Source organism: Homo sapiens, chromosome 7 (assembly GCF_000001405.40).
Source record: "Homo sapiens chromosome 7, GRCh38.p14 Primary Assembly".
NCBI lineage: Eukaryota > Metazoa > Chordata > Mammalia > Primates > Hominidae > Homo > Homo sapiens.
This window is the reverse complement of record NC_000007.14, coordinates 47946503-47963256: the sequence shown is the minus strand read 5'-3', so window position 1 is coordinate 47963256 and position 16754 is coordinate 47946503. Positions and strand designations below refer to the sequence as shown.

The following is a 16754-nucleotide window of genomic DNA, read 5'->3' as shown; positions in this document are numbered from 1 at the left end:
AACTTGCTACTTAGTGTCTACCAAGTCCTCCACCTCTTTGCTCCTCAAAGAGCTGTGAAAAATGATGGCAGGAGCCGGTACAACACCACAGACTTAGAGAAGGGCACAGTGCTGCTTTATTGAATGATCTACCAAGGTAAAATTTTGCCGGGTCAAGAAATAGCAATTTAATCCATTTAAAGGAATGAATATAATTTGAAACATTAACTTATTTCAAGACTAACATCTCAAAGTGTTGAGACCTTTTTTAAAAGAGCTTTCTGGATTTTGAGCATACTTTCACTGGCTGTGATTTATAAGAATTTGTGGTTTGTGGAGTACTGTCCTAAATGCCAGGGTAAAATAAGGCAGTCCCATGCCTTACCTGCCCTGGGCTCAGGGCCTCACATCCTTTTGGTACGCACATCTTTTCTCTTCTCCCTTGTTCTGCTCTCCCGCAGCATATACCTCCTAGCCCCAGGCAATTACTTGTCTAATATCTATCTCTATATATTTGCCTATTCTGGCTTTTAGCTTTTTTTTTTTTTTTCCTGAGGGAGACAGGGTCTGGCTTTGTCCCCCATGCTGGAGTGCAGTGGTACAGTCATGGCTCACTGCAGTCTCAAACTCCTGGGCTTAAGCAGTCCTCCTGCCTCACCCTCCCAAGTAGCTGGAACTACAGGTGTGTGCCACTGCGCCCAGCTAATTTTTATATTGTTTTGTAGATATGAGGTTTTGTACGTTGCCCAGGACTCCTGGGCTTAAGCAGTCTGCCCGCCTCAGCCTCCCAAAGTGCTTGGATCACAGCTGTGAGCCACCACACCCAGCAATTCTTTTTATCCAAGAATTTTATCACCTGAGTTTTGAGGTCATTCTGTGCCATATCAGAGACACTTAAGAATTTCCCATTCCAGTTGCTCCTGGCTAGCATCCAAGTGGCCCTGCCATCCTCCTCCAGCCCTTCCTTGGCCCAGCAGGGAACTGCTTGGCCATCAGGTCTGTAGGCTGAGTTTATAGTGAGGTACTGTGCCTGGTGTGAAGGAGCCCACTCTTGGGGACCTAGAATGTGGCCTCAACAGTAGTCCTGGGGTTGGGATTCTGGTTCAGCCACTAGGCAAAGGTATTTAATGACATTCATGTTCTTAGTGTATGTTGCCAATTTAGCAAAGCATCCATCGTTTTGAAGAAATAACAATTCAGAACTTTTTAAAACAGCTGTATTGAGATATAATTCACATATCACACAATTCAACCATTTAAAATAGACTGTCTAGTGGTTTTTAGTATGTTCTCAGAGTTGTACAACCATCACCACTATCAATTTTAGAACATTTTCATCACCCAGTAAAGAAACTTCTTAACCATAAGTAATCATTTTTCATTTTTCTCTTCTCCCTTATTCTGCTCTCCCCCACCATATACCTCCTGGCCCCAGGCAATTACTTGTCTAATATCTGTCTCTATATATTTGCCTATTCTGGTTTTTAGCTCTTTTTTTTTTCTTGGGGGAGACAGGGTCTGGCTCTGTGCCCCAGGCTGGAGTGTAGTAGTACAATTATGGCTCACTGCAGTCTCAAACTCCTGGGCTCAACCAATCCTCCTGCCTCACCCTCTCAAGTAGCTGGAACCACAGGTGTGTGCCACTGCGCCCAACTAATTTTTGTATTTTTTGTAGAGATGAGGTTTTGCCACATTGCCCAGGCTGGTCTCAAACTCCTGGGCTCAAGAAATCTGCCTGCCTCGGCCTCCCAAAGTGCTAGGAGCACAGGCATGAGCCACCACACCCAGCAGTTCTTTTTATCTAACTGTAACTATATATCGTTGACCAGGATCTGCCTTCCCCGCTGCCCCCAAACACTTAAGCATCTGGTAACCACCATTCTACTATCTCCTATGAGATTTGCTTTTATAGATTCTAAATATAAGTGAGATCGTGTACTGTCTGTACCCGGCTTATTTCACTTAACATAATATTCTCCAGGGGTTCATCCATGTGGTTGCAAATGACAAGATTTTGTTCTTTTTTATTGCTGAATAGTACTCCATTGTGTATATGTCCATTTTGCTTATCCATTCATCTCTTGATGGTCACTTAGGTTGCTTCCATAACTTGGCTATAATGAATAATGCTACAGTGAACGTGGGAGTGCAAGATGCCTTTTTGATGTACTGATTTCATTTCCTTTGGGTAAATACCCAGTAGTGGGATTGCTGGATCATATGCTAGTTCTATTTTTAATATTTTGAAGAACCTCCATACTGTTTGCCTTAATGGGGATACTAATTTACATTTCCTCCAATAGCATACAAAAGCTTTTTTTTTCTCCGCATCCTTGCCAACACTTACCTTCTGTCTTTTTTTTTTTTTTTCCAAGAAAGGCCCAAACAAAGCTAATCTTTTGTCTTTTTGGTAATGGCCATTTTAACTGGTATGAGGTGACTGAGGTGATATTTCATTGTGATTTTGATTTTCATTTTCTTAATGATTAGTGATGTTGAACATTTTTTCATATACCTGTTGGCCATTTGCTTGTCTTCTTTTGAGAAGTCTATTCAGGTCTTTTGACCATGTTTTTTTTTTTTTTAATTAGAAAAATTATTTATTTCTGCTCCTTTCATACATCTTATTGTTCAGGAAACAGTCTTACATACATATCTGAAATAATCTACCGTCACACACTCTAGTTAAAGGCAAAGCACCATAGGTAAACCTGATCAGCTGTCCAGAGTTCTGAGCTTATGGAATCTTGCTTCTTGATTTTACGTTAATTTCTGAAAACAGAAACGCCATCTCCAAAAGGTGTTAAGGGGGTTGTAAAAAATAATCACTTTATTTGATATTACAGCTGTAAATATGGAGCTCTTTTTTTTTCTTTTTTACAGTTTTTTTTTTTTTTTTTAATTTTTTTTTATTGATCATTCTTGGGTGTTTCTCACAGAGGGGGATTTGGCAGGGTCATAGGACAATAGTGGAGGGAGGGTCAGCAGATAAACAAGTGAACAAAGGTCTCTGGTTTTCCTATGCAGAGGACCCTGCGGCCTTCCGCAGTGTTTGTGTCCCTGGGTACTTGAGATTAGGGAGTGGTGATGACTCTTAACGAGCATGCTGCCTTCAAGCATCTGTTTAACAAAGCACATCTTGCACCACCCTTAATCCATTTAACCCTGAGTGGACACAGCACATGTTTCAGAGAGCACAGGGTTGGGGATAGGGTCACTGATCAACAGGATCACAAGGCAGAATAATTTTTCTTAGTACAGAACAAAATGAAAAGTCTCCCGTGTCCACCTCTTTCTACACAGACATGGCAACCATCCGATTTCTCAATCCTTTCCCCGCCTTTCCCCCCTTTCTATTCCACAAAACCGCCATTGTCATCATGGCCCGTTCTCAATGAGCTGTTGGGTACACCTCCCAGACGGGGTGGTGGCTGGGCAGAGGGGCTCCTCACTTCCCAGTAGGGGCGGCCGGGCAGAGGCGCCCCTCACCTCCCGGACGGGGCGGCTGGCCGGGCGGGGGGCTGACCCCTCCACCTCCCTCCCGGACGGGGCGGCTGGCTGGGCGGGGGGCTGACCCCCCCACCTCCCTCCCGGACGGGGCGGCTGGCCTGGCGGGGGCTGACCCCCACCTCCCTCCCGGATGGGGTGGCTGCCGGGCGGAGGGGCTCCTCACTTCTCATATGGGGCAGTTGCCAGGCGGAGGGTCTCCTCACTTCTCAGACGGGGCGGCTGGGCAGAGACGCTCCTCACCTCCCAGACGGGGTCGCGGCCGGGTAGAGGCGCTCCTCACATCCCAGACGGGGCGGCGGGGCAGAGGCGCTCCCCACATCTCAGACGATGGGCGGCCGGGCAGAGACGCTCCTCACTTCCTAGATGGGATGGCGGCCGGGAAGAGGCGCTCCTCACTTCCTAGATGGGATGGCGGCCGGGCAGAGACGCTCCTCACTTTCCAGACTGGGTAGCCAGGCAGAGGGGCTCCTCACATCCCAGACGATGGGCGGCCAGGCAGAGACGCTCCTCACTTCCCAGACGGGGTGGCGGCCGGGCAGAGGCTGCAATCTTGGCACTTTGGGAGGCCAAGGCAGGCGGCTGGGAGGTGGAGGTTGTAGCGAGCCGAGATCACGCCACTGCACTCCAGCCTGGGCACCATTGAGCACTGAGTGAACCAGACTCCATCTGCAATCCCGGCACCTCGGGAGGCCGAGGCTGGCGGATCACTCGCAGTTAGGAGCTGGAGACCAGCCCGGCCAACACAGCGAAACCCCGTCTCCACCAAAAAAATACGAAAACCAGTCAGGCATGGTGGCGCGCGCCTGCAATCGCAGGCACTCGGCAGGCTGAGGCAGGAGAATCAGGCAGGGAGGCTGCAGTGAGCCGAGATGGCAGCAGTACAGTCCAGCTTCGGCTCGGCATCAGTGGGAGACCGTGGAAAGAGAGGGAGAGGGAGACCGTGGGGAGAGGGAGACCGTGGGGAGAGGGAGAGGGAGAGGGAGAGGGCTTTTGACCATTTTTAAACAGGGTTATTTGTTTTCTTACTATTAAGTTGAGTTCCTTTTATATTTTAGATATTAAACCTTTGTTGGATGTATACTTTGCAAATATAATATTTTCTCCCATTCTATAGGTTGTCGCTTCACTATCGGTTGTTTCCTTTGCTGTGCAGAAGCTTTTTAGTTTGATGTAGTTTGATTTGCCCATTGTTTGCTTTTGTTGCCTGTGCTTTTGAAGTCTTGTTCATAAACTTCTTGCCCATATAAATGTAATGAAGCATTTCTCCTGTGTTTCCTCTAGCAGTTTCATAGTTTCAGGTCTTAAATCTATGTCTTTAATTCATCTTGAGTTGATTTGTGTATATGGTGGGAGATAAGGGTTTAATTCATTCTTCTGCATGTGGATTTTCAGTTTTCCCAGCATCGTTTATTGAAAGACTGTACTTTCTTTTCAATAAATGTGTGTTCTTGGTGCCTTTGTTGAATATCAGTTGGCTGTAAATGTGTGGATTTATTCCTGGGTTCTCTGTTCCATTGATCTATCTGTTTTTATACCAGTACCATGCTGTTTTTATAACTTTAGTTTTATGGCATATTTTGAAGTCAGGTATTATGATGCCTCCAGCTTTGTTCTTTTTGCTCAAGATTGCTTTGGCTATTCAAGGTCTTTTGTGGTTACATACGAATTTTAGGATTTTTTTTTCTATCTGTGAAGAATGTCATTGGTATTTTGATAGGAATTGCACTGAATCTGCAGATTGCTTTGGACGGTATGAACATTTAAGAAATAATTCTTTCAATCCATGAACACAGGATAACTTTCCATTTATTTGTGTCTTCAGTTTCTTTCATCAGTGTTTTATAGTTTTCATCCTAGAGATTTTTCACCATGGTTAAGTTTATTTCTAGATATATATATATATATTTTTTTTTAATTGTATTGTAAATGGGATTTTCTTGATTTCTTTTTCATATAGTTCACCATTAATGTATAGAAATGATACTGGTTTATGGCTGTAATCCCAGCACTTTGGGAGGCCAAGGCAGGTGAGTTGCTTGAGCTCGCGAGTTTGCCACCAGCCTGAGCAACATGGCAAAACCCTTTCTCTACAAAAAATACAAAAGTTAGCCAGGTGTGGTGGTCCCAACTACTTGGGAGGCTGAGGTGGGAGGATTGGTTGAGCCCAGGGAGTTGAGGCTGCAGTGAGCTGTGATTGCAACACTGCACTTCAGCGTGGGCAACAGAGTGAGATCTTGTCTCAAAAAAAAGAAATAATACTAGTTTTTGTTTGTAGATTTTGTATCCTGAAACTTTACTGAATGTTTTTTAGTTCGAACAGTTTTTTTGGTGGAGTCTTTAGGATTTTCTCTACTTATGATCGTGTCATCTGTAAACAGAGACAGTTAACTTCCTCCTTTCCGATTTAGATGCCTTTTCTTTCTCTTGCCTAATTGCCTAATTACAGCATGTTCCTATTCTGTAAATGTTCAATGAACTAGAGAATGATTCTTGGGTAGTTAATATTGTCAATGTTGATGAACTCTTTTCCTTCGCTGAAAGCAGCTACTTTGTTGGAGGTTTCAATTCTGCGTGGCAATTTGCAGCATTTCTAGTGGTACTGCTCCACATTTTACAGCTTTATGAAGAAGGTGTTTACTTTTTTTGAAATTACCTTGAGACATTTCAAACTGTGCAGAAGATATATGCACAAAAGCAAATGTCTTGCAGTTTGCTATAGCCACTTATACATCATCTGGCTCTTGAATAGCTTTAATTCAGCTGTTGAATCTCACTTGAATTTGAGCAAAACCTTCATCTTTATATGTATCTGGACAAATTACTTCAATTGCTTGACAGTAATGACCAATCAATTTATTTAAAATAGTATCATTTAGTAGGACAGTGTTTTTCTCTGGTTTGAGCAACGAATTCAACCAGTCCTCTGGGTTGATCATCATCATCATCATCATTTGGTTATCAGTTCCTGAGTTATTTTTACCAGGGAGTTTTATACCTTTAGACAGCTATTTTGAATTATCTCAGGAATGTCATATATCTCTGCCTCTTTAGAGTCAGTCACTGGCACTTTGTCTGTTTGGTGACATCATGTTTCCCTGACTGTTCTTCATCTTTGTAGTTATACATTGATATCTGTGCATTGAATATGTAGGTATTTATAAACAGTCTTTGCAATCTGGCTTTGTCTGTGATTGTCCTTGTATAGTAGGTCTGTCCAGAAATTGTAAGCATACTGTCTTTTTTGGTCTTTAAGCCCGTGAACGCTACAGCCCGTGTAGTGCCAAATGGTGCCCTAAGCCCAGGTTCCCTGCAGTCCACTCTGTGATTTGTTTGTTGACTGCTGTGAGCCCCACCCCCATTCTTTGTTTCTAATTTACACCTAGCAGGCTAACCCTGCTGGCACCTGCAGTGCTTCCAGGGGGAAAGGACCATAGTGTGCCCCTGTGAAGAGTCTCAGAATGGTGCGGAAGGTGAATGCCCACCTCCCGCTCTCTTTTCCCACTGTAGAAACTGATTCCAGAGAAATTCTCCAAGTGCGGTGCTATGTGGGCTTGCGGGAGAGGTGTTATGATCAAACAGAACCATTCTCTTTACCCTCTGTTCATGGTTTTTCTTGGCTCTGTGGTCCAGTGAGTTGTCACAGCTTCACTCCCAATTTCTGGGATATTCAGGGCAATAATCTTGCCACTGGGTATTTGCTAGTTGAAATTATGTGGTAGGGAGAGAAGCCAGTAAGCTTCACTTCTCCGTTTGGCTGATGTCACTCTCGAATTCTGTACTTTCATACGGATTGTAATAGGGAGGGTCTAAAAGGAAGCTTCAGTTTTGGATTTTTAGAGCTTCTTCTAAGTACAATTGTTGAATCAAGAGGTAAAAATGGTATGTTATAACTGGAAATACGCTGAGATTAAAAAGGAGATAAATTAGCCCCATTGGGACAGTGCTATTGGGAATGTGAATTGATACCACTTTCCTGGAGTCTAGTTTAGTATTTATTTTATATGTAATGCCTGAAAAGATGTGTGTCTCCTTTGACTCAATACTTATAGGAATTTACACAAAGGTTATAATCAAAGATTATAGAACTGTTATACTGGAAAAACACGAAATATTCTAATTATGAATTAATTGGGGATTGGTTAAATAAACTATGGTTTGATATGCTCTAAAAATAATGTTACAGAAAAAAGTGTACTGATATGGCAAAATGTATGACTTATAGTTAAAAAAGCAGGTTAGATGTTGATAGATACAGTATGATAGAAAAAGATCAGGAAGGTATATGCTGACATTTAAATCTGGATATTTATGAGTGTTTTTTTTATTTCAATCTTTGTACATGCATGTATTTTCTAGAAATTGTATTACTATCTTTGTAATAAAGTAAATTATTTTTAAGGGACTAAATAATAAATATTTGTTACTTGAGTGCCTTACACATTCACTCGGCAATTACAGTTTCCCGAACATTGGACTTCAGACTCTTTTCACAGCACATCCTTATTTTCATAAATAGAAAATTAAACTTTTTATTTGTCATTTTGATGTTATGCCAGGTTTAGAATACTGGAGTCTCGATCAATAAGGTGGCACCACATTGCAGAATCATCTCTTTTTACCATGGGCCCAACATGGATGAGGATCAATCAGTGTCTGTAACAGTCTTTGCAGTGAGGGCAGAGTGACCAGTTATTAAGTTGTAGGCTAAAAGATCCTGGGAGAGACCAGCCACGCACAGGACTTCACAAATCACTGGACAGTAAGGAAGATGACCCTGTGGGTAGCACGAGAAAATGTAGCCGCCTTCCTGGAATCTAGTTCCTATTCGCCTGTAGCACCAAATGAACCAATCTTACAACCATAACCAGCATATGTAGCTTGGAAAGATGCTGAATTCCACACCCTAAGATCTGGGAATGGATTTTGGCTCTTTCCAGCGTCCTAGTCTGGGGCAAGTCATTCAGCCTCTTGAGACAGTTTCTCTAACAGTGACTAAACATGCTGACCACCTGTGGTGGTTGGAATAAGAGAAAATAGCATTACTCATTGGCAGGTTTCTAAATTGGGAAGCGTAAAATGTGAGCATTTATAAGCGGTCTTAGTCTGTGTTGTGTGGCTATAGCTGATTCCCACAGACTGAGTCATTTATAAAGAAAAGAGTAATTACAGTTTTAGGGGCTGGGGTGTCCAAAGTAAGGTAAGGGGATGCATCTGGTGAAGGCCTCCTTGCTGTATTGTCCCCTGGCAGAAGGGCACAAGGCAGAAGTGGGTGCAGGAGACAGAAAGGAGGCAAGAGGGGCAGACCATCTTTGATAACAACTCATTCTCCTGGTAACAGCATTAAGCCATCATGAGAGCAGAGTCCTTGTGACTTCATCACTTCTCATCAGGCTCTGCCTCCCAACACCACTGCAGAGGACCAAGCTTCTAACTTATGAATTTAGGGGACACACTTAAACCATAACATAAGCCTTACCAAACAAAACAAGCAAAAATTGGCTTTTTTCTCAGTGAAAATACGCTGCTAACCAGAGGCTGCCAGTTCACGGCAGCACACAGTGCAGACTGGGTGACTTCCATGGCTCTTCCGAGGCTCATAGAGGTTTGGTTGGCGTGTCTTAGCGCACCATGACATCATCCAGTGACCTTAGGGCTCAAACCTTGTGACCAGACAGCCCTGTGTTTCTAACCTCAAGCTATTTAAAAATTTAAAGGAGGCTACATATATACACTAACCACTTTTTACCATACTAGTTTCAATTTAAAATTATCTTTTTGGTTATCTTCCTTGCTGAGAGAAAATTCTAGTGAAGCCTTCTGGGGGAGGATCCTCCCCTTACAGGGGAAGAAAAACATGACCAGACAGAAGTGAGAACCAGAACAGAGTGGAGGGCATCTACCTTGTGTTTTTGTCTTTTCTCTGTTCACTTCTTTCACTGTTTGCAAATAAACCCTGCCAAGGAGGCAGAGCACATAAGGGGCCCTCGTGAGGGAAGTGCTTGATGGGATGCTGGACTTCCTCATTAACACTTCACCTAGTTCAAATTTGGCCTTCCCACAGCAGCTCCTACCTGGGGCTTTACCAGTTTTTGGAGCATGCAGTCTTAAATCTAGAAAGAAATGCCCAGTGTGATTCTTAGATGTTTGGTGGCTTAACCTGTCCCAAATGACAGGTGGGCCTCCCTTCACACTGGACAGGTCTGAAATAACCAAGAGAAACAGTGGTGCTCCAACTCAGCTCCATGGGGAAGCTGAGAGGGACCATGGGACTTGTCCTGGGTCTGCCTTGGCATGTACCATCATACGATCTGGGCTCACATAAGTAGCAGTCCTTTCCTAAGAGGATTCTATTCATACTTCATGAAATACCAGTTGTCTATATCAAATAATCAGTGTGGAGAAACCACTCCAGACGAAAGGACACCTTGATGGAAACAAGGTGGGCAGGTGAGGGTGAGGAAGCTGAGATGATACGGATAATTGTATACTACTCAAAATAAGTGCTTGAGGGCCTAAAACATTACCCCATGTAATACATGTGTTATGCTTTTCTTAACAATTGCATTGGAACAAGATAAATGCAGAGGTGGTTATGGCAATTCCCTATTTGTAATGTACTTTTGAGACAGAAAAATCAAAGTGATCACCAAACTGTAGTGCTGAAAGATGATTCCTACTGTGATCATCGCATTCCTTCAGTGGAATTGCTGCATGTGACTTTGCAGAGAGAACAGTTAGGGTATGGTTATGTTCCCCTACACTCCAAGTGGCCAAAGGACCCAAGGCATTTGGGGGCAGCCTATCAAGGTATTTAAATATCAAGCCATGATATTTAATTTTATTTTGAAGCCAATGGAAAGCACGGAAAACTACAGAAGAGAGAGGTGCCATTTATAATTCAAATTATTGAGGATTTTATATAAGACAGAGTACCTACTTTTAGTCCCAGGTATAGCAAATTTGTCTTTTCTAACTTGACAATGGCTTTAAAAGTGTACCATGATGCCCTTCCACTGCAAATTACAGGGCACTCAGCTATTTTTCACAAAATCATGATACTTCAATAACTATGTTGTTTTTCTTTAGTGGAGCTACTATTGAGCCTCACAGATGATTGACACATATTTCCCTGCAAATTAACATCACTTAGGACATACTTATCTCAGAGAAAACGGCCCAGAAGCATATTGGGGTGAAGGGAGGCTAAGGCCCCAGAGCTCTTCTGGGCATGAGATTTCTTTCTCAGGGGGTGCTTATGATTGGCTGCTTGTCCCAAGATGCTAATGGAGGCAGGGAAGGCTCACTGCTCCAGCCCATGGGGCGGAGCAAGGCCAGTCCCTGTTGCTTCGGGTTCCATTTATGGGCTTTCTACCTGTGCTCACTTCCCCAAAGCCACCCCTGATTTGAATGCTGATCAGCAGCCCCATTGGAGCAGCCTGCTTGCAAATGGGGTGGAGGGGGCTGATCGCAGCCTTGCCCCTGCTCTCCTTGGTGCAGCCTGCTCTGGGAACCAGCTCAAAGGATGGTAAGTTTGACATTCTACCAAGATCTTATCAATTTTTCTTTCTTTTCACCACAACTAATTACAAAAATTTGCCCAAGCACTGTGTTTGTCTCCGTGAGTGTGATGGGACCCAGAGCGTGGGCTGGGAGTGGGGATAGGGTGTTAATTAAAAAAAGATGTAGAATATCTAAAGGTAAATGAGTAGAGGTCCACAAGCTGCCTCAAGGAACAGAATGGAAATGACAGTGACTGGCAGTCTTGCTAGGAAGGGACATGTCAGCATGTGCTACTGCTCATCCAAAGAGAAGAAGGTCAAGTGATGCTGGTGGGCCAGGTGCTTTCCCGGGAAGCTCCATTTGGAGGTGAGAAACTGAAGCAGGCAGAAGATGAGATGATAATGATCAGAACCTGGGCTTGCATTGAAACCTGAGAAACGAAGTTGGTTGCTCATGATAACCATCATTCTAGTGTTATTTTTCCTTGTATATTTTATGTATACACTTGCCTGAGTTGCAAATGTAATATTTCCCCAAATCTGAAACTTAGTATCATTAAATGCCATCTATTACATCTTCAAGTATGAAAACCCATGTGAGAACAATTGCTGAAGTTTCCATCTGAGGAGGAACCCTGTGCTGTGTAAACTGCAGCTCTGTGCCTTTTTACACTGTGAACTGTGTAAACACCTGTGTTTGCTTTTCTACTTTGACTACTGAAAGTCTTCAGGCAGTGCTACCTACTTTCAGGTATTCATTCTGAACTATGTGCATACTAAACACCTTAAGTCTGTGGAGTAAGGCAGGGGTTGACTAAGTGAACTATTACCTAAGAAGCAGTTTTAGAAACTAAGTATTAAATCTGAAATACAGAATGTGGCTTAAAAACAAATTCTAAGGAGGTGGCTTTTGTTTAAAACAATGAAGACAAAGGGAAAGACCTCCCAGGATCTCTTCCAGCCAGGGGGTTCCGTCCTTGCACATTGATTTCATGCAAAGAAATGATTTTTCTTGTGTTTTTTCCTCCTTTCAGCAAGGTCATAAGGAGAGTCAAAATCCTGATCGAGTCTTTGTTTCTAAATGAGGAGCTTAGATAGTGATTTCTTAAAATGGGCCATATTTGGAAGCCATTTACCTAATTTTATTCAGAATATTTTTACTTAAAGCAGTTTTCAAAACTCGACGTTTTCCAGTTTGCTTGGCTGCATCCACGTCTCACCTTAAGCAGCACACCCCTCCGTCCTCGGGAGGGAAGCAGTGAGTTTGGTTCTGTGTTGTGCTCCCTGTTGTACCAGTGCAGTGCTCGGCAAACCCCAGGTGGAGGAGTATGGCCCAAGAATGTAGATGAACTGGGAACCCCTCCCTTGTCTGGATGCAGCTGCTCTGAGGAAACAATGCTGGCCGCACTGCCCGGAAAAAGGCGAGGCTGCCCAGCCCAGCGCTGGCCCCGAGGGTGTTCTGCAATGATGGAAACATTGTATAGTTTGTATCTTGGCTACTGAGCCCTTGAAATATGGCTAATGATGGAGAAGCTAAAGCTAATTCTTTTTTTTTTTTTGAGACAAGAGTTTCGCTCATTGCCCAGGCTGGAGTGCAATGGCACGAAGTTGGCTCACCACAACCTCTGCCTCCCCGGTTCAAGCGATTCTCCTGCCTCAGCCTCCTGGATAGCTGGGATTACAGGCGTGCATCACCACACCTGGCTAATTTTTTTGTATTTTTAGTAGAGACGGGGTTTCTCCAGCTAATTCTTAATTCTATTTAATTGTAAGTAACTTAAGCTCCAGTAGCTGAGAGTGGCTATGAGAGTGGCTATGAGAGTGCCTCCCACGTAGGGCAGTGCAGGCATATTTCTTCCCTCAATTATGTCACTTTCTTTGCTCCTCCTCATTTCCTGGCATCTTTGGTTAGCACTGCTGGCTTCAAAAACATCACAAACTTTAAATGTAGGCCCTGTTCTCAGGATGTCCAGCCCCACAAGGAAGGAACAGGCAGCAGCAAGGTCAGAGCATCCAGGTGTGCGTGTGGGTATGGATGCCAGCCCAGCAGGCAGGGTTGCACAGGTGTCTTTACCCAGTGGACTCTGTTTAGATTTGACAGGAAGGTGTCAGAGCAAATCACAGGGGCTTCAGAAAGAAGGGATTTTGTTCGTTTACAAACTGCAGTTTGCAGTTTATCCTTTTCTTGGTCACAGGCGCATTTGAAAGTGTATTGCTAATGAAATTGGAAAGTATGCATTTCCCCCAAATCTGAGATTTACTCACAACAAGCACAGTGGGGACAAAGCCAGAGGCACTGACAAGGCAGTGTGAGAAGAGCAGAGGTGGCAGCAGGCCCCAGGAGACAGGTGTGTTAGGTCAACAGCAGGCCCCTTAACCCACCACAGGGCTCTGGTTACTCACCTCATTGGCAGCAAAGTTCCAGAAAACACAGGATCCAAGGCCGGACACCCGTAGCTTGGTTCATCATTGTTCAAGGGGTCTGTGTTCCCATCTGAGAAAGAGCTTGTGCCTGAAAACGTTCCCACTCTTCTTGGTATCACTCTCTTCAGAGTGGAGAGAAAAAATATCTAGTGTTCTGAGTAAAACATTAAGTTTTCTAAAATCTCTGAAGGTTTAAATGTTGGTATAAAGAACTAAGACAACTAACAAGTGCTTTAAAAATATAAGAGAAAATGTTTCGTAATGGAGAGAACTCAGTCTGACCCGCCAGTTGCAAACAAGGAGAGGTGCAGGAGGTTCGGAACCAGATCATTCCTAGGTTCTGCCGTAAGACAGAGTGCGCCTAGTGTGTGCCTTGCCAGCCTTCCTTAGGAATGCTCTTCTGCTCTTGTGGAAGGTATCCTGTTCCCCAGTGCAGTTGTGGACAGTTACAGCTTTTTTTTTTTTTTTTTTTTTTTGAGACAGAGCCTCGCTCTGTTGCCCAGGCTGGAGTGTGGTGGCACGATCTCGGCTCACTGCAACCTCCGCCTCTCGGTTTCGAGCAATTCTCCTGCCTCAGCCTCCCGAGTAGCTGGGACTACAGGTGCGTGCCACCATGCCTGGCTAATTTTTGTATTTTTAGTAGAGACGGGGTTTCACTATGCTGGCCAGGCTGGTCTCGAGCTCCTGACCTCGTGATCCGCCCACCTCGACCTCCCAAAGTGTTGGGATTATAGGCGTGAGCCACCGCGCCCAGCCAACAGTTACAGCTTTTTATTCTCAGACTTCTCTCAGCTTCCATGTACAGTCTCTCCCTTGAGTAGTGATCTGTTTCAGGCAGCCACAAAGATCCCTACCTAAAACACACTTTTGTTTTGTTTTGTTTTGTTTCATTTTGTTTTTGAGGCAGAGTCTCACTCTATTGCACAGTGGTGCAATCTCGTCTCACTGCAACCTCCACCTCCTAGGTTCAAGCAATTCTCTCGCCTGAGCCTCCTGGGTAACTGGGATTACAGATGTGTGCCACCACACTTGGCTATTTTTGTATTTTTAGTAGAGACGGGGTTTCACCATATTGGCCAGGCTGGTCTCAAACTTCTGGCCTCAAGTGATCCACCCACCTTGGCCTCCCAAATTGCTGGGATTACAGACATGAGCCACCACGTCTGTCAAAAGCACACTTCTTAGGAAGGAATTTGTCTGACAGTGTTAGGAAAACAAAAGCTGTTTCTGCTTGGGAAAATGTTACTGGAGTTTGGATTTTTCCCTCTGTGTTTGATGTGTGTCCTGATAAGAGGTCACAAGTACAGAAGCTGGAAGCATTAAGCTCTATTTCTTTGTCTTCCAGAGGATGTAGGAAGAAGCTGGTCTGCTGACTGTCATACTTGTGACCAGCTTGCACAGGACATGGCCGAGGAGGCAGCCCAGAACATTTCTGATGACCAGGAAAGGTGAGTTATCACTGTTCTCAGAGGGTTTGGTAAGCTTGATTTTAAAGTATGCATTCAGAAATTTTCTTTCAAAAGTCATCACCTCTAGGATGTGGGCTCACTCTGGCACGAGTGGAGGCCCTGTACCAGGAGGGTGCATTTGGCCGGCGGGGTCAGTTCAGAGGTTGGAGTTGGTGTTGAGAATGGAGTTTTTTCCTGAAGGCTTTTGAGAAGACTCCTCCAAGCGGATGCCTTCAGCCATGAGAAGTGCTGATTGCTCTTCCTGCAAATGCAGGATACCTTCCAAGTTCGAGGACTTTCTGCTGCCTGGTAGTAGACAAAGTTAAGCTATCTGCTTGTCTGCTAGGTCCCTTGCATGGAGACCAGGAGAAACCTGGCACAGGAAGAGATCATGGGGTCTTGGCCCAGGGGTCTTATTTCTTTTTTTTTGAGACGGAGTCTCTCTCTGTTGCCCAGGCTCGAGTGCAGAGGTGCGATCTTGGCTCACTGCAAGCTCTGCCTCCTGGGTTCATGCCATTTATCCTGCCTCAGCCTCCCAAGTAGCTGGGACCACAGGCGCCCACCACCACGCCCGACTAATTTTTTGTATTTTTAGTAGAGACGGGGTTTCACTGTGTTAGCCAGGATGGTCTCGATCTCCTGACCTTGTGATCTGCCCGCCTTGGCCTCCCAAAGTACTGGGATTACAGGCATAAGCCACCGCACCCAGCCTCCATGGGTCTTATTTCTAAACCCTCTTCCCCATGCTCTGTGCGCGCCAGCACCCATGTGTTGTTGAGGCTGGGCAGCCTGTGTGCTCTGCTGTTGACTGTCTCATGGCAGTGTGACATGGTGCAAACCTCCATGCCCCCTTTCCTGGGCGTGAGGCCAGCAAGGTGACCTGCCTGTGGGATGTGGTAAGGACCCAGGTGGGTCACCGCTGTCCCCTGGCCTGGCATGATGGGAGCCTGTGCCTGCAGATCTTGCCCAGTGGGGTACCCCGCCACTGCAGGTCACTTTACCTCCTCACCCCCAGATTTCTCATCCTGAAAATCTGAGTACCCCTGTTGTCACATCTGTAAACTCCAGAGGGTCGTTATAAAAATCAGTATCCTTGATGAATGCTTGCTGTCAGCATTTCTGCCTTTGTTAGCTTACTGTCTTTGTGCCATCACCATCATTTTATCAAAGAAACCCAAAGCAAACCAGGATGAGAAAATGAGGCTGCACGTGTTGACGGGGTTGGTCACATTCATGCTTGGAAATTTCTTTGCCTTATGTCACTCACTGCTGCCAAGCATTGTCTGATTTTGGCTACAATTTTTTCCCTTATTTTTTCTGGTTACCTCATGTTTCTTTTATTCCAAATGCCCATGCTCCTGCAGACTCCCAGAGCCTTGATGTTGGCCCAATTTGACCTTCACTCTTATCAGTCAGGGAATTGCAAGGAATTACCCCTTTGCCCTTAGAAAGGAAAGAAAAGCTGAGGAGCGGAAGTCGCTGACTTGATGTTTTTTCCCCTGTATATTTATACATCTTGTACTTGCAGACCAACTAGTTCATGCACGCACTAGCCATTGTAATTGGTGTCGAGGCCCCATTTCTGAAGTCATAGCCTTTTGGGGTTTCCTGAGTCACCTAAAGCAAGACAGTGACTGATCTTGTTCATAGAAACAGAAGAGGTTTCTTGACTCTCCTGTAGCCCTCATTTCATGGAGTTAGGCCTGTAGTGTCTGTGTGTGTGTGTGTGGTATAGGACATGTGTGTGGGTGGTGTGGTGTGTGGTCTGTGTGTAGTGTGTGGTGTATGTGTGGTATGGTATGAGTGGGGTATGGTGTGTGTGTGATACATGGTGTGTGCTGTGTGATGTGTGTGTAATGTGTTGGTGTGTGTGTGGTGTTTGTGTGTATGGTGT

At 44.7% G+C, this 16754-nt stretch overlaps 1 protein-coding gene across 2 annotated transcripts in view, besides 1 other annotated feature; it reads left to right on the top strand.

Moving 5' to 3' along the window:
• The window catches only part of PKD1L1 (polycystin 1 like 1, transient receptor potential channel interacting), a 186293-nt gene continuing 171889 nt past the window's right edge, over window positions 2351–16754 (top strand). Inside the window, exons 1-2 of one of the 2 annotated variants that reach the window (XM_017011798.3) lie at window positions 2351–11014; window positions 14758–14860. In XM_017011798.3, coding sequence (XP_016867287.1) covers window positions 10897–11014; window positions 14758–14860 — 221 coding nt within the window. In that variant the 5' untranslated portion in view covers window positions 2351–10896. Of the gene's footprint in view, window positions 11015–14757; window positions 14861–16754 lie in introns of those variants that run through there. The other variant, NM_138295.5, reaches the window with a different exon arrangement.
• Window positions 11585–11714: an enhancer, noted in NCBI's record as "active region_25984". NCBI's record gives its function as "activates an Ori minimal core promoter by ATAC-STARR-seq in GM12878 lymphoblastoid cells {active_cell/tissue: GM12878}" and the evidence as "EXISTENCE:reporter gene assay evidence [ECO:0000049][PMID:35858748]".